We start from the raw sequence: 25,426 nt of genomic DNA, 5'->3' as shown, positions 1-25,426 counted from the left end.
AGCCAGCTAAAGATCAAAAGTGATTAGATTAGACACACTCAAATAAGTGAGGGGGAACAGTGAACCATCAAATTAATAGCTCTACAAATGAGAGATACTAAATTTGTTCTTAAAAAAAAAAAAAGCAACCAAGAAAAATGAATGCTAATAAGCCTAACTTGAATAAGTAAATGCTCTAAAAACACATGTATCTATAAACCTCCACACCCAATGAGTCATTAAGACATCCCACTTGTAAAGCCAGGTCCCAAGCTCAGACAGACCTGCACTGGTTTGTATACAATTACGGCAATTTATCTTGCCCACCAGCCAGTCTTCTATGTGTCTGTTACAGCTACTTTTCTCACAGTGTAAAATTAATCTGTGTTAATCCCACAAAAGTAACTATTTTCTTCTCTCCTCAGTCTCTGTACCCCATCCCACTCCATGTCAATTGGTTCTTTCTGTACTGCCCTAAGTAATGATTCTCAGTCACAGGCTTCAAATAACTATACAACTTAAACAATATGGCTCCCAAATTCACAAAGTCTTCATTTCTCTGAAAGCCAGTTAAATCCTGCTTCTTTCCACAAAGTCCACCCAAGAATAAGCTGATCTTCTATTAGAACTACAGATGCAATCACAAAGGAACAACCCATTTTAAGATGGCACATGTAAGCCTGGGTTACGAAATGACCAGCTAGTAGTCATCCACTGTAGAATAAAAAGTGCAAGCCCCTGATGGAAGCCCTATGTCAACAAACATGGCAAAGGACCCCAAGCCTCTATACCTTCAAACCTCCCTTCCAGACGATATCATGTCTGCCTGGCCCGTATCAGACACATCCTTTACAACAAGATATCACCTTAGTCGTCACTCCTAGACACAACCCTTCATGCATTCATATACTACCACTGCCTCCATGACTCATCTTTCTGGTGACCACATTTATGAAAACTATTATAGGCAATAATTAAATAATATCAAAAAGATAGTAAAAAAACAAAGAGAAAGACTATAAGCACCTTATCAAGGAAGAGAGTAAAACACATGTGCCACTGCCAAGAATATCATAGGTTTCGGAAAGAAAAGAAGGCACCAGAGGAACATCTCTGTTCTGGTCCAGAGCATTTGCCTAGCAACACCCCTCTCCTTAATCTTCAGTCATTGTATGACTTTGTTCCCAAAGAGGCTGCTCCCAGGGTACGCCCCAGCCACCCTACAGGGATTTCTCTACTGAGAGCATCTACAGGTCCAGCTCCCTCAAGGTGCTCTCCATGACAACAGTGAATTTTTTGCTCTGTTATGTCTATCTTATGCTTCCTGGGGAAGGCAACTACAAAAAGGAATGTGCTCTGGCCTGGGAGTCACAGGTTCACCTCGGTGGGCTGGGTGATCTTAAGAGGGTTTCTCAGCATGTCCTGCCATGTCTGTGCCATTTGTGTGCTGCAGTGATCTCACATTGACTCACACCAGCTCATGAGAGACAACCTTGAACATTTCTTCCTAACTTCTGCTCATGGACTTTACATCGGTAGCTTAAAATTAGTCATAGTGGGAGTATATACACCATGGAAATCAGCAAATGTAGCAAATCTGGATTTTTTTTCTTCACTTGGAGAGCTGGTTGTTAAACACCAATACAACACTACTTGTGCCTCAGTTTGTTACCCAATTTGTTTTTCTTTTTGTGGAAACAAATTTTTGTACAGCCAAATCAACTTGACTTTAGACCTTGTCTCAACACTTTAAAGCTCTTCAGCTATTTAATACTGTTTTCTTCTATTAATACCTGTTTATGGTTTCATGGAATTTATTTTGACGTATAGTGTGAGTAATACTGTTAATTCAGAACAGCTAATTTAACAAATAATAAATTCTTATTTATACTATGGTCTATGTGTAGACTATTACCTTCCATTAACTTTTGGTCAACAACAAAATAGCAACTAACATCTTTTTGAGTACTTCCCAAGCACCAGCAATTTGCTCAACTCTTTATCTCATTTAATCCTACACTTTACAGGTGAGTAAAGTTATCCTTGAAGACATTAGGTACCTGGGCCATAGTCATGTGGCTGATAAATCAGAGCTAGACCTGGAATCCTATACTCTACCTCCAATACCTCAACTCATGACCATTATTGCTAAACTGCAACACAGTGTTGACCACTATTTTTTAATTTTGATATTAGTCCTCCCTTTATGCTTCTTGCTTAGAATCATTTTGTAAATCATTTTGTCAATTTTACTCAAATCACGTTAAATTTAATTGGAACAGTGACATCTCAATATTCTAGTTTTTGTATTCAGAAACAATGTATGTCCCTCTAGTTCATTTATTTATTTTAAAAACCTCAAGAAAAGTTTTATAGTTTTCTTCATTTCAACTGGACATATTTGTTAGGGTTATTTCTAATTTTATATTTGCTGACGCTTTGATAAATGGGATTTTTTTATGCTACATGTTTCTAACTGGTTATTGCTAACACTTGAGAAAGATACTGATTTTTGTATACTTACCAAATACAGCACTTGTAATTTTTAGTTGATTTTCTTTTTTTTGTATTTTATCTCCTCTCAGATCATTATACTTACTTTGGTATGGTGGATTATTGCACGAGTTAGAACTTCTAGAACAATGTTAATGGTGATAGAAGGTTTATATATTCCTGATGTAAACTGAAGATGCCCTACTGTATCACTGTCGAGTACAAGACTGACTTGTTGGTTTAAGACAGTGGATCTTATTAAAGATACAGTTTTCTCGGCCAGGCGCAGTGGCTCACGCCTGTAATCCCAGCACTTTGGGAGGCCGAGGCGGGCGGCTCACGAGGTCAAGAGATTGAGACCATCCTGGCCAACATGGTGAAACCCCGTCTCTACTAAAAATACAAAAATGAGCTGGGCATGGTGGTGTGCAGCTGTAGTCCCAGCTACTCGGGAGGCTGAGGCAGGAGAATCAGCTGAACCCGGGAGGCGGAGGTTGCAGTGAGCCGAAATTGTGCCATTGCACCCCAGCCTGGGCAACAGAGTCAGACTCCGTCTCAAAAAAAAAAAAAAAAAAGTTTTCTTTTCCTAGTTTTAAAATGGCTTAAAAAAAATAGATGTTGAGCTTTTTCAAATGTTTTTTGAGCATATTATTAAAATAACTTAAAGTTGTTCTTACTGAATACCTTTTTTTTTTTTTTTGAGTCTTGCTTTGTCGCCCAGGCTGGAGTGCAGTGGTGCGATCTCAGCTCACTGCAAGCTCCGCCTCCCGGGGAATACCTATTTTAAACTGAAAAATCCTAGACTATCAATAAGGAGGTAGATCTGAGTTTGGTTCCCGGGTTGAAGGGCAAATCTAAGGAGTCCTAGGTCAGCAGCACAGTTTGTTCTGCTGCAGTTTCTTTGACAAGCATTACCTCATATCTGACTGGCAACAGATGAATGCTGTTGGCATAATGGTGAAGTCACATTGGCTCACATGCAATTTTTCTCAGCATAATAATGTTTTCAAGCATAGACAAGTTTTCTCATGATTAAAGAGAAAGCCTTGGCAATATAAGATGACCTTAAAGGCGGAAAAAAAAGCTGAAAGTCTACAGAAGTGACTTACTTTAGCATATGTGGTAGCTGATTCAGTGGCTTCAAAAACCACTATACTTTCCTTCTAAGTTATCTGGCAAAGCTGCAAATGCAGATGAGAAAGCTGCAAATACAGCCAGGCATGGTGGCTCATGCCTGTAATCCCAGGACTTTGGGAGGCCGAAGCGGGTACATCATTTGAGGTCAGGAGTTCGAGACCAGCCTGGCCAACATAGTGAAACCCAGTCTCTACTAAAAATTCAAAAAGGCCAGGCGCGGTGGCTCACGCCTGTAATCCCAGCACTTCGGGAGGCCGAGGCGGGTGGATCACGAGGTCAAGAGATCGAGACCCTCCTGGTCAACATGATGAAACCCCATCTCTACTAAAAATACAAAAAATTAACCGGGCGTGGTGGCGGGCGCCCGTAGTCCCAGCTACTCGGGAGGCTGAGGCAGGAGAATGGTGTGAACCCGGGAGGCGGAGTTTGCAGTGAGCCAAGACCGCACCACTGCACTCCAGTCTGGGTGACAGAGCGAGACTACATCTCATAAATAAATAAATAAATAAATAGAAAAAGAAAAAAAAATTAGCCAGGCGGTAGTGGCACACCTGTAATCCCACCTACTCAGGAGGCTGAGGCAGGAGAATCGCTTGAGCCTGGGAGGCAGAGGTTGCAGTGAGTGGAGACAGCGCCACTGCACTCCAGTCTGGGTGACAGAGTGAGACCCTGTCTTAAAAAAAAAAAAAGAAGGCTGCAAATACATTCCTCCCTGTATTGAAACAATGGATTAAGAAGGCTATATGCTGGATCAGCTTTTCAATTTTTATCCAAATGGTCTCTATTGGAAGCAAAATACCCTCTAACACCTATTTCCCAAAGAAGAAAGCATGAGCCCCAGGGTTTACAGCTACACAGAATTTTCTGACTGTGATACTGGAAACAAGTACCAGTTAGAGTTGACTGTGCTGGCTCTTGTTTTATTTTGTTTTTTAGTACTCTTGTGTCAACAACAGAACTGCCACTAACATTTTTTGAGTACTTCCCATGCACTACTTGGTTACATGGGAAGGACCAAGCCCTATTAGGCTACTTGGTTTACAAAGTTCCTCAGTTTTAGTTGGTCCGTCCCAACTCCCATCAGCCCTATTGTTTTCAGTGCCTGATTTTGCAAACATGGGTTGTTTATTGTATTTTTCAATTATTGTTGAGGCTTCCATTTTATTCTGTTTTTGTTTGCTTGTTTTTTCCAGGTTCACCTATATGGTGTGGCAGCAGAAACATTTGGCTCCCCATAGAACCACTGGATCTTGTGCTACCTGCTTACCAGAGTGTGGCCTGCTTGAGATTTGAGATTTTCTTTGAAACCCAGTTAGCTAACAGGCACGAGTACCTGCCATCAGGGAATCTAAGACACTTGATTTAGACACTGAAAAGTTTAAATCATTATCATGAATGGAGTAACTGCAGTAAAGAGAGGGTTGTGCAAATTTCTGAAGTGTATTCAAGAGATGAGGCTGACCACACTCACGTTCCATTGTCTCATCCACAACACACATCTATTACCAACTCCTGATATTCTACACAACCTGCTCCACCAACAGCCTTCCCTACTTCAGTAAACAGTAATTCCACCTTCAGGTGTTCAGACTGAAAACCTTATTGCCACTTTCTCACAGCATCTATCCAGTTCATCAGAAAATGCTGATGGCTCTGTCTTCCAAATATGGCCAGAATCTGACCACGTCCTATCAGTTCTCCACTGCTACCACTCTCGTTCAAGTCACCATTATCTGTCACCTCTATTACTGCAATAGCCTTCTATCTGCTTCCACCCGTGTCCCCTCAACACTAGTTTCAATAACGTGATTGGAAAGCCAGATCTTATTACTCCTCTGCTCGAAACCCCATAATATCTTCCTGTCACATGCAGAACAAAAGTCAAGTTTTTATAATGGCTTGGAACAACACCCTAGATGCTTGGGCACAAAATAGCCTGGACCTGCTGTTCCCTTCCTTCCACTTCTCAGACCACTCTGGTTTTCTTGATGCTACTGAGCTCTCAGGATTGCCTCCTGACTTTTGCACTTGCTATTCCTTCTGCCTGGAATGTTCCTTTCTTAAATATCAAGTTTGTTTGCCCCCTCATCCCAGTGAGGCTTTTCGTGACAACCCTATTGTAAACTGCAGGCACATACACACACACACACACACACACACACACACACACACACACACACACACACACACGGCTCCCCATCCCCGTTTCCTAACTTAATTTTCTCCAAAACAGTACATATCTTCATCTGCTATACTGTATATTTTACCTGTGTCTCTGTTTAGTCCCCTTAAAAAATAAGTAAGCTTGGTGTTCTTTGCTGTATCCCCAGTACATAGAATAGTTCCTAGGGCATAGAAATCTCAAAAACTACTTACTGAATGAATGAATCAGGTTCACTGCATGACATGATGAAAGCAGTGACAGATTGAGATTGTGACTCTTCAGTCACCTTAATCTTCACAAATCCAAGAAATATTTGAAGAGGTATAAAGAAGTTGACTTTATTTTAATGCAGTCATATGGCTAGGCTGTGAAAACCTGTTCAAGAGATTTATTAAGCTGCTTCCTCAGATCAAGGACACTTGGAATTAAAGGGCTTGGAGTGGCTCAACTTGTCAGACGCCCTGGTGACTCTAAGATTGTTCTTCCAGGCAGGCACGGAGGCTCACACCTGTAATCCCAGCACTTTGGGAGACCGAGGTGGGCGGATCACCTGAGGCCAGGAGTTTGACACCAACCTGGTCCAACATGGTGAAACCCCGTCTCTACTAAAAATATAAAAATAAGCCGGGCATGGTGGCAGGCACCTGTAATCCCCGCTACTAGGGAGGCTGAGGCAAGTGAATTGCTTGAACCCAGGAGGCGGAGATTGCAGTGAGCTGAGATCGCGCCACTGCACTCCAGCCTGAGCGACAGAGCGGCACTCCGTCTCAAAAAAAAAAAAAAAAAATTGTTCTTCCATGATGTGACAAGACATCTGAACACACCAAAACTGAAACTACAGGGGGCAAAAAGCAGTAGCACTGCTGATATGATCAAGGAAACACAAGTGCTCTGATTCAAACCAGACATGTAGATCAAATAATAGGAGACTGCATTCATTTTTCATAAGCTGACCAATCCTCAAACTCAACAGAATCACTAAATTTAAAACTTTGAGAATATTTCCTAGAACTCAATTTCAAAAGAAGGTTACAAATTTTATAAGGAATCACACTTTCATTGTCTGTGTTTACCTCCAAGGTGGATCCCTCAGGGACAGGCCTGAATTACCAAGCATTTATCCCATTGCATGGCTCACATTTTCATGAACAAAATTCAAGAGCTGAAAGCAAAATATGACCAACAAAAACTCAATATTCATGACATTCTGAAGATGAATTTACTAAGCTTAGAGCTATGCCAAAACTTCTGAAATGCACTCAACTTTGGAACTTGTTTACAATCCCTGATGCTGTAAAACACATTATTTTCCATGAAAGAGCTAAAATCAAAGCTGAAGCTACCATCTGTGATGTAAATCTAGCATTACAACAAATTGAGATAGGCCTCCCTAATACATGCTACGGTTGTATAGTTGTTTCTTAAACACTACTCTCCTGTCAAGACTAGCTCCAAGCCTTTAACTTTGTACTTCTGAAGAAAAAAATTTATTATTTTTCAAACTGACTTCAAATTAAATTTGAAATCATAATACTATTGAACTGTTTTATATCATTATTGTTAAGAATTTAAACTTCACATGGGTCCACATGTGTGGATTTCAAATTATATAATTGCTCTAAAAGTACAGGTGCTTACTTTTCAATAGGATCAAGGTTATGAAAGATAGAAACACCTGAGAAACTCACAGATTGGAATGGATGAGATAACTAAGAGTTCCTGGCTCTACTAAAAAGAAGCTACTACATGACACAGGCAAATCACTTAACCCTATCTATGTGTGCCTTATTTTCCTCACCTGTAACAGTTGTGAGGTTAACCACGGTATATGTAAAATACATACCACTACATATAGCAAATAAGTAAACAATGGATACATAGTTGTGTTACTGTTATTTACTCTACCCATACTGTTCAACAATATGTTATTAAATTCTGGGCAGAAGAACTTGTTTCATGATCAGAATGATAGGTCCTCATCCTATGCTTTAAAAGATTCAATATTTCTATAGGTAGGTGACATGAAACACTTAGTTAACAATAGCCAAGGTAATTTATGCTGTGTTCAGAGAAGGAGGTGGTCAGTGTGGACTGAAGAGGAAGGCTTCTTGAAAGGAGGGAATATGAACTGGCTCATCAGGATAGGATTCAGATAGGAGGAAGAAAAATTCCAAACAAGAACATCATAAGTAAAAGCAGTGAGGCAGGAGTGAAGACGCTCATTCAAAAAGGCCAATACACCTCCACGAGTACAATTCTTGTTCAGTGACAAAGGCCAGATGAGTAAACTGAGGGCACAGTCCAGGGGTAACTTTGAATCTAATGCTGATAGAAAAGATATATTGCAAAATAGAATCAAAGCGGAAAAGGAGTAGCTTCATATTGCTTAAGGGGAACATCTGGTAAAATGCGAATTAGTGGTTTATCTAGTGAATGAATGAAGAGTTTGCTATAATGAGCATAAGCAAAACCTCACAGATGGATATATCCTTTACTGGTTTTTTTATTGGCTTTATTCACTACTTTTCCCTCTAACATCAGTGTCAGTATTACTACCCTACCCTGTCTTTAAGTACCATGAAACATATTTATATGCATAAAGAAATAATAACCTACAGAACTATCACATTCATTAACATGTGACTGTGTGGGTGTGTAAAAGCAGAAGACAACAGGGTGGAAGATTCCTTGCAACTTAGAAATGCTGTTTGATCTCTAAAGAGCATCACAGCCAGGGAAAGTAGATTATTATTAATCCTACTAAGAGAAAAAAAACTCAGACACATATTGTTGAGGAAAAAAGCAAAAACAGTGATTTTAGAGCAATACAAAACTGCTTAATGAAGTATGATACGGCTATGTACAATGGTATGAACTGTCACTGCTCTGTGACTGCAGGTAAAAAAAAAAACTCAGACAATATACTCAGAACATAACATTTGCTAGTAATGGACTCACATCTTCAAGATTCCTACTGCTTGAATGAAATTCACTCAGTTGCAATTTTACACAAATCATCCACCATGAAATGATATAAGAGCCCAGCATCCTGAGTTTACATGTGAATTTTTCAAATCAATCCTGTTCAATAAGAACTAGAAAAAAGCAAAAAAGGAAAAATACAGCTTGTAAGCATTAATAAAAGCCAAATGTAATCCATTCATCTCCACAGTCTACATGAACCATGTTGACAATAAGGAATAACATCCACCCCCTTCTAATTCACCAATAACTCTATGTTTTAGAAATAGATTTTGGTCACTCATACTCTAATCAAACTTACTGTAATAAAAATTATCGGGCTGGGCGCAGTGGCCCATGCCTGTAATCCTAGCACTTTGGGAGGCCGAAGCAGGTGGATCACCCGAGGTCGGGAGTTCGAGATGAGCCTGGCCAACATGACAAAACCCTGTCTCTACTAAAAACACAAAAATTAGCCAGGTGTACTGGTGGGCACCTGTAATCCCAGCTACTAGGGAGGCTGAGGCAGGAGAATTGCTTGAACCTGGGAGGCGGAGGTTGCAGTGAGCCAAGATCGCGCCACTACATTCCAGCCTGGGTGACAGAGCAAGACTTCATCTCAAGGAAGAAAAAAAAAATTATATATACATACATATATATATATATATGAAAGAAAATTAAACGTACTGAAATTATTTTAACATTATACTTACTGTGGCATAAAATAATATTTACTTTTCTTTTTATTACCTACTTTCATGCATGTGTCACAAGAAAGGCCAGAGGCTTTGAATTTGCTTATATCCCTTAGCAGATGAGGAGACCTACTTTCAGCATTTGTGCTAGACAATGCTACACAAATTGAATTTTTTCAACTGACCAGTAGGCCATTCATCAACCTTAAGTGGAATTTGGGATACCTAAAAAATAGAGGAAAGAAAATAATATAAGACCTGTGTTCTAATTCCAACTCATTTGCTTACTAGCTAAATAATCTTAGACCTTTAACCTTTATGAATCAGCTTTTTCACCTGTAAAGAGAATAGTGATACCTAATACATACGGCTTTTTTTTTTTTCTCTCAGCCTTTCTCAAAGGTATATAAGTTTGTTCTTGATGGTGGTTCCAGATTTTCTGCATTGAGGGACACACGCAGTTCTCTGATTGGAAGGAGGTACAAGAACATGCCTCTGCATAGCACTGCATTGAAGATTATGAAAAGATTAACTGTCCTATCAAAGAATGGGGACTTGATGGAGATACTGAGGAGTTAAATATCTCCCAAGCCCCTCTCCTTGATCCCAAGACTGCCTGTTGTGGTGATTACATATTACAAAAAGGAAAAGTGAGGTAGGAGATATAAAGAAGACAAAAAAATGAATATCTACAGTACAGACTCATATAAGGTGTACAATTAAAAAAGTTATGTATTTTCTCCTTTTGATTAATTCAGTAGAAAGAGTCCAGGCTTCTAGATTTTCTTGGGAAAATTAAACCATTTTATCAGAATTCAATTCAACTCAACTTTGAACTCTTATTATGTGCAAGCTACTCTATTAGATACTGTTGAAGATGAGGAAAAAATAAAAACAGACTCTTGCTTTCAACTAGTATGTAAAACATAACAAAATAATTTCTACACCAGAGAAACAAAAATATTATGAGACCAAAGTACAGACTTCCATAACCCTAGAACTAGCATTTAAGATCACAATCAGGCCAGGCGCAGTGGCTCACGCCTGTAATCCCAGCACTTTGGGAGGTCGAGGCAGGAGGATCACCTGAGGTCAGGAGTTTGAGACCAGCCTGGCCAACATAGCGAAACCCCGTCTCTACTAAAACTACAAAAATTAGCCAGGCGTGATGGCAGGTGTCTATAATCCCAGCTACCTGGGAGGCTGAGGCAGGAGAATCACTTGAACCTGGGAGGTGGAGGTTGCCGTGTGCTGAGATTGCACCACTGCACTCCAGCCTGGGTGACAGAGTGAGACTCTGTCTGAAAGAAAAAAAAGAAAAAGATCACAATCTACCTTTCTGGCCAGACTTCACACTAGAGATAAACACACACTCCAGCCATCCCAAACCACTTTTGCCAAACACATTACACATTTCACACTTCTATGTGTTTGCTCGTACCATTCCCGCAGACTAGAGTTCCTTTACTGATATTCCAACGAAGTCATTATTCATCCTTTAAGACCAAATTCCATTCCTTTTCCTTCCACCCACTTGGAATTAAGGGAGGTAATTTAGGGGGAAAAAAAGATACAAGGGAACATAGGAGAGGAATGAAAGATTCTGTACCAGAGGAGCAATAAGATAAATGAGAGTAAGGGTTTGTCAGAACCTTCTAGAAAACCATCATTCCATGCTATACAGAAAATTAACAAGCCTAACAAGGTCTGACAGCAGGAATCCAAGAGGTGAGAGAAAACCTGTCAAGATTATGGGATAACAAGAAAACCTGCAGCAGAAATTTGAGAAATGTGTCCAGGAATTATAAAACAGAAGGACTTAAAGCCACGCTTGGTCTTTTCATCTATTATTCCAACAGGAAAGAAGCGTGTGAAAGTTAACCACTGATTACATAGATGGCATCAAAGAATAGAATTTAGTTTTTACCGTTTTAAGATGCTGCAAAGATTAAGCACTTAACCCTAGAAGAGGGAACCTAATTAAGTCTGGAAGAATGCCTTTGTTCAGAAACGCCTGTCTCATCCAAAGGGCTCTGAACTAAAAATAGAGAGGTAGAAAGAAACAATGTAAGTTGATACAATTACTGCATCATTCATTCAACAAACATTGACCAGGCACTGTTCTAACACTGGGGATACAGCAGTCAACAGACCTGACAAAATCCCAGTGCTTATGGTGGGAGAAAGCCAATACAAAAAATAGATAATGATTTCAGGTGATGATCAGCTTTTAAAAAAATACAGCCAAGTAAAGAAACAGAAAATGACAGCTAGGGTACAAGGTGTAGAACTGAGGGAGGAAGTCTGGCAAATCTAAGGGTAGAGCCAGAGAGAAAAGGAAGGCCCTGAAAGACGAAGGATCTCGAGGTGTTTGACAACAATGAACTTGGCCAGAACATAATAAATGAGAAGGATGGTAGTGGGGAGGTGAAGAGGGAGGCAGAGCCAGAGTAAGGTAGAGAAGAAGTCTGGATATTATATTTAAGTGTGATGGAAGCCTCTGGAGGGGAGAGGATGTGGAGTCTGAATCACCTTTTTGATCACTCAGGCTATTGAGTGGAGAAAGAACTGTAGGCAGCTAAGCACAAGACGACCATGAGTTGGGCTAGGGTGGCAGCAACAAAGTTGACCCATGTCAGATATGATTACGTAAAGAAAGACTACAGACAGTCTTAGGAGAAAATTTTTTAGAAAAAGGGACATCACATATGCCACCTCCAATGTCAATAAACAAGTGGAGAGGATGATCATGCACGAAACATCACTGAGTTCCATGACAGTAAGAGCTGTCATGTGTTGTGATCTCTCCAAAGCCCAGCACGACGCTTGGGACATTAGCAGGTACTGGGAAAAGATATTTTTTTCAATAAATTTTAACACTTTAACACAAGAAAGCACCTTACATGTATAACCAAAATTTAGTGGGATGGGATTCAATATTGGTCTATAAACATTGAAGCTCTAGTAGGTGAGTAAACTGTTTCAAATAAACAAGCTTACTGAAACATTTACTGAGTGTCTTCTACATGTTACCAGTGTGGCACACTAAGACGAGAGAGTTTAAGACCTGCCTCTCCTGTCTCCCAAGTTAGAGTTCACACCCTGGTGGTCCAGACAAGTCACACGCCTGAACAAACACCAAGAGGATTTGTGCAAAGAAGACTGCTGGCAGCTGTCAGTAACCTTCAAGCAACTGTAGAAAACCACAGCAATACAACACAGAGAGGAACATGGCAGCATCCCTGGTTTTAAAAGGGGGAAGAAAGTGAATGCTACCCACTTAGCAATTGAGCATAATGTCAACTCTCAGTAAAACTGTACAACAAAATATCAAAGGGAGGGTTTGTGGGCACTTACACAAGAAAGAGGGGACCAGTAAGAGCCAACACATGCACCTGAGTAAGCCATTCCTGGCTAAAGTCTTGTCCTTTTTTGATAGAAGAATGGAGATTGGGAAATACATGATATACCTGAATTTTATTAAAATTTATTAATCCTAACTCTAGTAATATTTCAGGGGATAACATGGGAGGAAATGGACTAAAGTACAGGTCAGCTGTATAGGAAACTGCCAGAATGGTCTTGAGAAAAGAGGTGACCAGTTAAAAAGAGTGTCTAAAGAGAGGATCTGAAAGGAAATGTTTAAAAATAAAAACAAAATGATAAATAATATCAAGGCCAAAAGATATTGCCATTAGGGGTTTCTCAAGCAAACAGGCCAGCCAGGCCACCCTATAGTGAATGCCACAATTAGGAGGTGTTCCCTAAATTAATATGCAGACATAAATTTATTAATATTAATCAGATAATAGAAACCTGGGAAAGGAAGAGCACATACACTGGATAATAAAAATAAAAGCTCATGACAGTCTATAAAGCTGGGCAAAAATCAACAGCTTTAAATTTCTTGGGGAAAATTCCAACTTCATACTTATGTTTTTAAAATTCTACAAGAAACAAGAGCACAAAAGGGAAAGCTGGCTTTCTTAAGAGCTTTTGGTGAACGGCAAGGTAACGTAAGTGAAGTTGTTGAAAAAGCGAATTCAACATAAGGCAACATTAAGAATCCAGAAGAAAGGACTACCTATATCTACTTTAGTGAGTTGCTTTTTGCATACCCCACTTTAAGAAAATTGTTGGCCAGGTACGGTGGCACCCGCCTGTAATCCCAGCACTTTGGAGGCCAAGGCGGGCGGATCACCTGAGGTTGGAGTTCGAGACCAGCCTGATTAACTTGGTGAAACCTTGTCTCTACTAAATACAAAAAATTAGCTGGGCGTGGTGGTGCTTGCCTGTAATCCCAGCTGCTCGGGAGGCTGAGGCAGAATTGCTTGAACCCAGGAGGTGGAGGTTGCAGTGAGCAGAGATCGCGCCACTGCATTCCAGCCTGGGCAACAAGAGCGAAACTCCGTCTCAAAAAAAAAAGAAGATCGTTAAAATAGAACTCAGATCAATGAAAGAGATTTGGATAGTCTACTTAGAGTAAATGTTGACTAACTGAATACATGCACTGAATTCGGCTCCCTTCCAAAACTCCACTGAAATAATAGAGGGATTTAAAACATTTGGAACTACGAAGCAGGTGGGAGAATAAATTGACCTAGTACACTCGAAAAAGCTGAATCCCGAGCCAGTGGTGGGAAAAGATAGGAAGTGAACCCACTTACACCACAAAACTCCCTCAAAACTCAGGAATTCATGGTTTAATATATCTCTGGAACTGGAGATGACAATGGGGCTAAAAATGAAGGATTCATTGGGTTGCATGAGAGCATTCAGATCTTCTGTGCAGTTGGACAACTGCCCCTCTTCTACCCAGAAGAGTTGGACCACACACAGGTACCACACAGAAAACAAAAGGATGAAGTGGAAGTTTATACACTGAATATTGAAACCAACACCCACCCCAACCTTCTTTCCCTGCTTGAGTCCCAGGACTCTGGCAGCCAGATTAATATCCTTTCCAGGAGCCCAGAAGAGACTTGTTTGGGGAAATCTGATGAGTCCAAGAGAAATGACCAAACGATACTGACACTTAGTGTTTCCCGAAGAAAAAGGCGAGCCAGACCACTCTACAGAAAATGCCACAGCCAACAATCCCATACCCAAATAATACAATGCTTTCAAACAATCTTTTAGGGCCCCGTTCCTAAATATTAATAATAACTAGATAGCTAAGGATGACCAGACAGTTAAGGAATCTTTTACCATGACAAACAGGAAAAAATAACTTGGAAGAAAAAGATGATGCAGTTGCAGAGAGAAGTGAAATTAAAACACACACAGAGAGATAACAGATGATGTAAAAACAAAAAAGAATACTGAAAAGAACAAAAGCACCCACTAGGAAATTAGAAATCATAGCAGAAATAAAAACACAATAGAAATACTGAAAGGTAAATTAAGGAAATCTATTGCATTGTGGAGAAAAGACAAGGAGTTCAAAAATACTTTTAAATGGTAAGAAAATTCAGAAACGGGGAAGAAATGGGGGGAAAAAAATCCAAGAAAGAATTAAGAAAAAATTTTCCCAATTGCAAACCAGAAATTTCCAGATTGAAAGAGCCCATACTGTATCCAGCATAATGGATAGAAGGCCCATCGCTGAAAAATGTCAGAACTTGGGTTATAAGGAAGATCCTAAAAGGTTTGAGAGAGAATAAGTTTAATATGAAGAATCAAGAATCAGAATAGCAGACTTCAACAGCGACCCTAGAAGTCAGAAGGCAATGGAACAACTCATTTAAAATTCTGAGGAAAAATAATTTCCAACCTAGAATTCTGTATCCACTCAACTATTACATATGTGACATAAAAATAAAAACATGCCAGGTGTCAACAAACTTCCCTCATGGAGCCTTTCTCAGTAAGCTACTGAAGGAGGTGGTCTACCAAATCAAGGGAATAAACCAAGAAAAATAACACCAGTACAGAGACACTGATGGGGAGAAAAAAAAACTCAAAGAAGGCTTAAATAAATGGAGAACTACATCACATTCATAGATTGGAAGACTCAGTATTAATTTGACAATTAATTCTTCCCTAATGGATCCATGCATTTCAATGCAAGCCAAATCAAAATCGCAGCAAAATTTTTTGTAGATATTAACAAGCTGATTCTAAAATGTATAGGGGAAGGCAAAAGAACTATAATAGTCAAAATAACTTCGAAAAGGAAGCAAAAAGTTAAAGGACTCACATAACCTGATTTCAATATATACTATAAAGCCACAATAATTAAGACCATACAGTACTAGTATTAAGACAGACAAACAAATGGATGAAACCAAACAGAAAGTTCTGAAATAGATCCACACATATATGGTTGATATTTGAGAAAGATACAAAGGCAATTCAATGGAAAACATAGTCTTTGTCAATAAATTGCACTGAAATAAATGGATATTCATACACACACACAAAAAACCAACTCAACCTGTACCTCAAACCTTATATAAAGATTGGCAAAATGGATAATAGACCTAAGTGTAAAATGTAAAACTAGAAAATTTTAGAATAAAACATAGGAGAAAATATTTGTGACCTTGAACTAGGCAGTGTTCCTAGCTATGATATCAAAAGCATAATTCATTCCCGAGCCAGTGGTGGGAAAAGATGAGAAGCGAACTCACTTATACCACAAAACCCCTCTGCTAAATAAGCAATGAAGGCCAAGTATGGTGGCTCACACTTGTAATCTCAGCACTTTGAGAGGTCAAGAAAGGAGGATCGGTTGAGGCCAGCAGTTTGAGACCAGCCTGGGCACATAGTGAGACCCCGTCTCTACATAAAAATAAAAAATAAATAAAAATTAGCCAGGTACGGTGGCACACACCTATAGGCCTAGCTACTTGAGAGGCTAGGACAGGAAGACTGTTTGAGCCCAGGAGTTTGAGGCTGCAGTGAGTTATGATTGCACCACTGCACTCCAGCCTGGGTGACAGAGTTAGACCATGTCTCTTAACACACACACACAGAGAAAGAGAGAGAGAGAGCAATAATTCGAAAGATACAACACCAAGAAAGATATACAGATGTTAAATAAGTACATGAAAAGATGTTCAACATCTCTGGTCACTAGGAAAATGCAAATTAAAACCACAGTGGGATATCACTAAACGTCTATGCCAACAATTTAAAAAATAAACTGACAATACCAAGTGCTCACGAGGATATGGAACAATTAGAACTCTTCTTATACGTTGCTCATGGGAATGCACAATGGTACAGCCCATTTGGAAAACAGTTTGGCAGATTCTTATAAACATTCACTTACCATACAACCCAGCAATTCCACTCCCAGATAGTTACCAAAGATAAATGAAAACATTCACACTGCATAGAAGTGTTCACAGGAGCTTTATTAATAATCATCCCAAACTGGAAACAACCCCGTGTTCTTCAACTGGTGAATAAACTATGATATATTCATATAATGGAATACTACTTAGCCATAAAAACAAACTATTGATGCATGCAATAGCATGGATGCATCTCAAATGCATTACACTGAAGAAAAGAAGCCAAACTCAAAAGGTTTACAATACTGTATGATTCCATTTATATGACATTCTGGAAAAAGCAAAACTACAGGAATAGATCAGTGGTTGCCAAGGGTAGAGGAGTGATCTGATGACAAAGGGGCAGCTCAAGGGAATTTTTGGAAGTGAGAACTGTTCTGTATCTTGCTACTGGTGGTGGTGGCTCCATAAGGCCATGCGTCTGTCAAAGTTCATACAACTGTAGAACAAAAAGTGAATTGTACCGTATGTAAATTAAAAAATAAACTAAAAAAGCACATGGGATCCAGATAATTGGGAATCCAATACAAGAAAGAATGGGCCTGGCACGGTGGCTCACACCTGTAATCCCAGCACTTTGGAAGGCCAAGGTGGGCAGATTGTCTGAGGTCAGGAGTTCGAGACCAGCCTGACCAACATGGAGAAACCCCGTCTCTACTAAAAATACAAAATTAGCCAGGCGTGGTGGCGCATGCCTGTAATCCCAGCTACTCGGGAGGCTGAGGCAGGAGAATCACTTGAACCCAGGAGGTAGAGGTTGTGGTGAGCCGAGATCGCACCTTTGCACTCTAGCCTGGGCAACAAGAGTAAAACTCCATCTCAAAAAAAAAAAAAAAATTCCAGGTATGATGTGAAGGGAGATCTTAAATTGACAGCTTTGTAAAAAAGCAGGCCTGAAGAGTATCCAGCCCAGTTTGGAGGTATGGGAGAGATCTATTCAGGAAATTGAAACTGAAAGAATATCTAAGGTATCTGAGCTTACTCAAAGGAGAGTCACACAACTAGGTGAGAGTTTATAAGCCAATTAGTTATAAGTGCATATTAATAGAAAGCTGGGTAGACAGTAGAACAAGACAACCACGATCTCCAAGAGTGACAAATGATGAAATACTACATGACTCGGCTGTTAAGAGCAACCACTTAGTCATAAGATGAAGACTAAACATTAGGCAGGGTGCGAGGGCTCACGCCTGTAATCCCTGCACTTCAGGAGGCCAAAGCAGGAGGATCACTTGAGCCCCAGAGTTTGAGACCCTCCTGGGAAACATAATGAGAACTCATCTCTACAAAATAATTTTTAAAAATCAGCTAGGCGTGGTGGTGCAAATCTGTGGTCCCCGCTATTCAGGAGGCTGAGGTGGGAGGATCACTTGAGCCTGGGAGGTTGAGGCTGCAGTGAGCTATGATCACACCACTGCACTCCAGCCTGGGTGACAGAGTAGACTCCATCTCAAACAAACAAACAAAAAAGACTGAACATTGATCCAAACAAAGTTATGATGATATATCTGCAGCAGAAGGATAAGGGCAACCCGAAGTAGGTGCACAGGGTAGGGCAAAGGATGGTGTTGGAAGACAGCTCAATCTTTATCTTCTACAGTGGAGTCCAAAATTAATGTCAAAAATTGAAAAGCGAGGAGGTAGCAGTATAAGCATATTAAAGATATATAGGGGGAAAAGCAAAAGAATTAAAGATTTAAAAGTGGTGGTCTCAGGGCAGCAGAAAATGGGGAGGGTGGGGAGCTTTTTAAAATAACAAGCCCTAGAAATGCTTAACTCTTTAAAATACAAACATATGAGCTGGGCGCAGTGGCTCACATCTGTAATCCCAGCACTTTGGGAGGCTGAGACGGGTGGATCACCTGAGGTCAGGAGTTCAAGACCAGCCTGGCCAACATAGTGAAACCCTGTCTCTACTAAAAATACAAAAAATTAGCTGGGCATGGTGGCGGGTGCCTGTAATCCCAGCTACTAGGGAGGCTGAGGCAGGAGAATCACTTGAACCCGGGAGGTGGACGTTGAGTGAGCCAAGATCGCGCCATTGCACTCCAGTCTGGGCAACAAGAGTGAAATTCCATCTCAAAAAAAAAAAAAAAATACACACATGTGTAACTGATAAAAATAAAAATTACATAGATTTAATCATGAAAGCATAAAAGTAAAGTAAAGAAGTGGCCCAGAACAGTAAAGTTTCTGAAAGTCTGACATTCAGACATGGTTGTAAAAACTAAAGGTGTTTAACTTTAAAACACACACACATACCTTGGCACACACTAAAGGCCAATTTCGGTTTTTTATTCTGTTTGGCTAATGGGTGCAGAATCAGAACAATGAAGTTACATGGACACAGAGCTCGGTAGTGCAAAATGAAATTTCTAATAACTGCCTGAATGTAGAACAAATGCCTCAGGAAGCAGTAAGTTATCTGTTGCTGGAAGTGTTTAAACAAAGACTGAACAAAATCCACGTAGAGTATGTGACATAAAATTCATGGCTACCTTGGTAGACCTCTTAAGCCCCTGACAGTTGTGTAATTCTGTAAAAGGATTCCATGTGACAATTTCCTTTGAATCAGTATCATTCTAAAATAGGACTAGAAACACTGGTAGGTGAAGAAGCTCAGGCACTCGGTACATTTGTGCTTCTTTTTCCTTTTATCCCACCTCCACCTCCTTTCAGCTTTTGGCTTTTCATTTCAAAAGTCTTAAATATATTTACATTTTATTAAAAATTACCTAAAACATTTTTGGAACCAAATGAGATTTAAAAACTTAAAGAGCATAAACAGAAAATGTATGTCTGAATGGGAGAAAGCTGGAAGATAAATGGAAAGGTGGTCTGATGTAGTGGTAGGAAACAAATTGAATACTTGGGTGTCCCTGAATCCATTCTGGACCCTGTAGTTAGTCCATGGCCATGGAACACTAAACAGGTCACTGTGCCCAGTTAGGTATGAGACTTTGGGACTATGGCAAGAGCACATGGATTTCCTGGCAGGGTAACAGGGCAGAGATACATGACTAAGTCATAAACACATAAGAGCAACAAAAGAGCCACCATAGGTTAGTCAACAACGACAGAAGAATACTTTCGATGTGTTCTACTTTAAAATTTCTAGAATCTGCTCTATCAAAGAAGAAAACTCATTTATTAGCTTAAAAGCTGGTCATTTCAACATGAAAATTAAAATATTACCCATATTATAGGTACAATCTTTTCTATGGGACTGCCTCAAAAGCCATTGTGACTTGCATACAGGCATCTGAAGCTTTGTTATTTTCTTACTCAAGGACAGTATTTTTTTCACTCTGTATAATAAAATGCTGTCATGCCTACAGACACAATAACTTTATCCTAAAGTTTACTGAACTTCATCCTTACCAGTGAAGCACAAACACAAACCAAACTTCAAAAATAACATCTATGTTCCTTTAGGGCACTTTTGTATTTCTAGTTTTTAGTTTTGAAAATTAGTTTAAAATCTAGCAAGGAATTATCAGTGTTTTACACCTTGTAAACTATACTAATATTTAGCTATATAAGAAACACAGGGCCAGGCGTGGTGGCTCACACCTGTAATCCCAGCACTTTGGGAAGCCAACGCAGGCGGATCACCTGAGGTCAGGAGTTCGAGACCACCCGATCAACATGGTGAAACCCCGTCTCAACTAAAAATAAAAAAATAAAATTAGCTGGGCATGGTGGCGGGCGCCTGTAGTCTCAGCTACTTGGGAGGCTGAGATAGGAGAATCACTTGAACCTGGGAGGCAGAGGCTGCAGTGAGCCGAGATCGTGCCATTGCACTCCAGCCTGAGCGACAAAGTGAGACTCCCTCTCAAAAAAAAAAAAAAAAAAAAAAGAGAGAGAGAGAAACACAGATTCAGCTGGGCTCTGGCACACTGACAAAGCTACACCCCTCCGTAGCATCTCCCTTAACAGACTGCACACTTACAGAAGGAAAAGTCTCATTCTTTGTTGAGCCCAGTACTTAGCCTGACAGCACACCAGCCCATGAACATTGAACAGAACCAAAGCATGCAGCCAGCTTGGGATTCTCTTTTTATTCTACCGATATTCTCGGTTCTTTTATTTTACTTTTCAGCATCTTCCCTTTGTCCTGAGTTTCCTCATTGCTGCAATGGGCAGAAGCAGTGCTGCTTGTCATCTTCCAGGTCACACTCTGAACAAAATACTTAAGACTGGAGCTTTACCCAGTCTACTCCCAGGCAGGCACTGAGAAAATGGGCCAGAAGAGCTTTCATTATGCTCTGTGGGCCAGAAACAAGAGGTGTGTTGCAGGGAAATGGGGGAAGGCGGTGTGGCAGAAGGGAAAGAAGGCCCTCATTCTTATATAATAAATCTATCGTCCAGTGCTGATTACCTGTCATACTGAGGTTTTGATGAGGCCCAGAGGGTTCTAGCTTATGATGTGCCTTTTTTCCTGATTGGTTAATATTAATGTATACACCAAGACTTCATTATAACCTAGGAACACATGCTAGCAAGGTAGAATTCAAAAGCCCACCAGAATTAAACAGTTTGAACGGCAGCTAGTTTTAATTTTCAGGTTCATTCCCATTTCTCTCCATTGGCAAGTTGTATTTGTTTTAACCATAATCTTGACAAGTATCAGCACCACAAACTAAATGTTTAGTCTCTGAATACTCCATCCCTGTTCCATATGTATTCAATAAACATTTATTGAGGATCTATTATTTGCTTGGCCCATCATCCCTATCCTCAATTCTTTCTCCAACCAAAGATAGCATTCCATCTCCGAATGGTCATTTGGAGTTTAAGTGATAACTGTAACTGCCCCTCTGCTGCAGCAGACTTGAAGAAAGGAGAAAATCCTCCAGTGCAGATCATAGCTCCCCTTCTTGCTGTTGGCCCAGCTGACCCCATAGCAGTTCATATTATCAAGTTTCAAACTTGAAGGATTCTTTTGTCAATCATTTACCCTACCTAATATCCCTTGGAGATCTCAAATCACTAATCTGAGAAACAATGATTCACGTGAAAGGGTTTTAAGTTATAATATACTTGAGTGACTTGAAATTTATCTACTTTTGCCAATATCTTAAAGAAGAACATGAAGTTTGTGATGCACTTAAAGTCAGTTTCAGAGCTGAGTGATTCTTAGTTAAGAGTCACCTGATCCAACAACCTTATTGTTGCTTCTGGTTTCACCATAATCACTTTTGTTGTCATTTGGGAGAATGAAATTGAGAAGCAGTATTTCAAGCAGTGTTACTCAAAGTGTGCTGTGTAGGAGAGCAGTTCAAGATATAGTGAAAAAAATTTTAAAGGACAGATAAGTCCAATAAAGGCCAGTTAAGCAAAGTTAAACTGGTTTCCTGGGAGGCAGGGCAATGACCCTAAATATGTTAATATGCATGATTACTTTTCAAATGGGGTTGGGAGGCCAGTGAGGGGGTGGTATGAAGTGAGCAAGAAGAACCTCTCAAACTTTTCTGACCTCAGAACCCTTTTTTTGGCAGAACACCTTGTAGCCCTGGTGCTTTGGAAGCACATACTTGGGAGAAATCCTGATTAAGATATTCTTACATAAGAAACATTTAAATCTTTCAAAGTGATGGCATGTAGAGCACCATCTATCATATCTTAGAGCCTGATTTAAGTAGCAGATCCTTCCTCACCCAGAAGTCTCCCAGCTCAATTTGCTTGTTGCAACCTCAAGATAAATAAGTGTTTCCACTTGGTCTTGGTTTACTTTCTCAGATCACATTAAACTATAAACTTTTTAAACTAGCAGCAAACTAGAATTGCTTTCAGTTTTAAAATGAAGTGCCTTATTAAAGTATTATTTCCAAACTTTCATAACTGAAATCTGCTTCTATCAGCAGTGTACACTGAAAAATGTTTTTCTTGATTAAAACTATGGCTAGTTTCAAAATATGTCAAAATATACTTAAAACTTGGTATCTTTAGAATTGTCTTCCAACACCTGTGGTTTCAGAATTGTCATGAAAATACAAAACCACATGCAAAATAGATTTGGAAAAACTTTGAGGCTTAGCAAGCAAGGAATAAAACTCTCTTAAATATGCTGAGTTTTTAAAATGAAGTTTATTATTTTAAAAATTCCAGCTCTTGCTCTGATGGTAGGAATCTCTGCCTTCGTAATTTGATCTTAATGTGCACACTAATCATTTGTGCTCCAGAGTCAACTTTATTGAGGCCATTTTCTTCACCCTTTCCTCTCTTACTGCTCTCCAGAGCCTTGTTGGCACTCAATATTAATAACACAAGCATCAATTATATTAACCCTTTCGAAGGCCATGAATCTCCAAAGACTGACTAAACATATAAATATCCATTACTTATTTAAAAGTGTATTTTCAGGAATTGGTGAATTATGGGGAAAGAACACAATTACAGTAACAAGTAGTAAACTTGCTGTCATGACAGACTTGTTCAGACTTAGTTCTTAGAAGAAAATATGGAAGGGCCCTGGAGGATACGCACAGTAGCCATTGGTCCTTACTTAGAGTCTGAAGTTTATAACCACCACTTTCAGACTCTGCTCCAAACTGTCGTACCCTGGCCTCTATAGTTTGAGGTGCACTGATTTAAAACCAACCTACACATAGACTTTAAAGAGAGAACAAACAGGCGTGGTGGCTCACACCTGTAATGCCAGCATTTTGGGAGGCCTAGGCGGGCGGATCACCTGAGGTCAGGAATTTGAGACCAGCCTGGCCAACATGGTGAAACCCCCTCTCTACCAAAAAAAAAAAACAAAAACAAAAACAAAAATTAGCCAGGTGTTGTGGTTGGCGCCTATAATCCCAGCTACTTGGGAGGCTGAGGCATGAGAATCCCTTGAATCCGGGAGGTAGGGGTTGCAGTGAGCCAAGACTGCGCCGCTGCACTCCAGCCTAGGCAACAGTGCAAAACTCCATCCCAAAAAACAAAACAAAACAACAAACAGCAAACAGCACACACAACCTCTGAAATTAAGAGACAAAAAAGTGGTATCTAAGGTACATTCAATCTACCATTTAATATAGCAGTCCTTGGAACAGCAGAGGGAAATACAGCAGGAAGTGCACAGGCTTGGAACTACTCCCAGTTTTACACTACTTGGGCGATCCTAGTCAAGGTACCTAGCCTTTCTGAGTTTCTGTTTCCTCCTCTGTAAAATGAGGCTAACTGGGACCCACCTCAGAGTTATGAGAATAAAATGAGAACTGCATGTAAAGCGCTTAGCCCAGAGGCTACCACACAGTAAATCCCCAGCAATGACTGGTGTTCTCTATATTCTATATGCTCATGACTTAAAGCATTTTCTGAAATCCAGTTCTGGGTCTTCAATTCCCTATGGAAAATACCGCCTGGAGGTATTAATATCAGTACCACCTCCAGTCAGTCCATACAAAATTGAATTCATCTTCCCCTCTCCACAAACTAGTCCCCATCTCAACTAACATGTCTAGCCATTATAATACCCTTCTTCCATGATGTGGCGTTCAAAACATCTGTTCTTTCCTTCTCTTTCATCCCACATATCCAGATTAAGTCAGGAAGGTCTATTTTATTTTGACTCCACAATAACTCTTCTCTGTTTCCTGTTTACACTGGTATGAGTTACTGAACAGCTCCCTGGGCGGCCTCTGCCTTCTATTTCTCCCATTCAGGTGCAGTTATGCTGTCAAATTAATCTTCCTTAAACCACTCTGAAAACTCCTCCATGGCTGCCCATTTTCCTCCCCTTCAAATATGAATGCCTTCCCCAAATGCAACATAACATCTCTTCACTCCACTCTGGTCAGGTCTCCTTTCCATACTGACAAGCAGCAAGTTATTGTCTGCTTCCTTGCCTTTGACCAACTGTTCTTTACACTGGAATTCCTCTCCCTGCTTTCTACTAAAATCTGTCTGCCCTTCACTTTTTCTAAACCCCATTCTTCCAGACCAGATCTTTTGCTGGAGAATCATTTTCAGGAAGCCAACTCCCCAACTATTCTTTCCTCTCTTGGTTTCCCCGTCCCCTGAACTCCTTGCCACCCAATTTAGCCTCTAATTATTTATGTTTGTTTCTCTCTTTGCACTCATTTTCTAGACACAGTTTACAATCTGGGAGCCAGGCACGGTAGCTCATGCCTGTAATCCCAGCACTTCGGAGGCCAAGATGGGTGGATCCCTTGAGCCCAGGAATTTGAGGCCAGCCTGGGCAACATAGGGAGACAAGACCTCGTCTCTACAAAAAAATACAGGCCAGGCACAGTGGCTCACGCCTGTAATCTCGGCACTTTGGGAGGCCAAGGCGGGCAGACCATCTGAGGTCAGGAGTTTGAGACCAGCCTGATCAACATGGTGAAACCCCATCTCTACCAGAAATACAAAATTAGCCAGGCGTGGTGGCACATGCTTGTAATCGCAGCTACTTGGGAGGCTGAGGCAGGAGACTCGCTTGAACCCGGGATGCGGAGGTTGCAGTGAGCTGAGATCATGCCACTGTACTCCAGTATGGGCAACAAGAGCGAAACTCCGTCTCAAAGAAAACAAAAACAAAAACAAAAAAAGGCCGGGCGCAGTGGCTCACACCTGTAATCCCAGCACTTTGGGAGGCCAAGGCGGGTGGATTACCTGAGGTCAGGAGTTCGAGAGCAGCCTGACCAACATGGTGAAATCCCACCTCTACTAAAATACAAAAATTAGCCCTCTGTCGT

At 40.3% G+C, this 25,426-nt stretch overlaps 1 protein-coding gene across 7 annotated transcripts in view, besides 1 other annotated feature; it reads right to left on the bottom strand.

Annotated features, from left to right (window-relative positions):
• Positions 1-25,426, bottom strand: part of SLC44A1 (solute carrier family 44 member 1) — a 193,854-nt gene that overhangs the window by 156,140 nt on the left and 12,288 nt on the right. For 2 of the 7 annotated variants that reach the window (XM_006717029.4, XM_006717027.4), the window contains exon 1: positions 8,732-8,863. The exons of 4 other annotated variants lie outside the window; for them this stretch is intronic. In XM_006717029.4, coding sequence (XP_006717092.1) covers positions 8,732-8,821 — 90 coding nt within the window. In that variant the 5' untranslated portion in view covers positions 8,822-8,863. Of the gene's footprint in view, positions 1-8,731; positions 24,305-25,426 lie in introns of those variants that run through there. One more of the 7 variants, XM_006717028.4, reaches the window with a different exon arrangement.
• Positions 5,391-5,591: a silencer, noted in NCBI's record as "peak7312 fragment used in MPRA reporter construct". NCBI's record gives its function as "represses an SCP1 promoter by STARR-seq MPRAs in K562 erythroleukemia cells {active_cell/tissue: K562}" and the evidence as "EXISTENCE:reporter gene assay evidence [ECO:0000049][PMID:32103011]".

The sequence above is a fragment of the Homo sapiens genome, chromosome 9 (assembly GCF_000001405.40).
Source record: "Homo sapiens chromosome 9, GRCh38.p14 Primary Assembly".
NCBI classification, from domain to species: Eukaryota; Metazoa; Chordata; class Mammalia; order Primates; family Hominidae; genus Homo; species Homo sapiens.
This window is presented reverse-complemented; position numbering and strand designations above follow the sequence as displayed.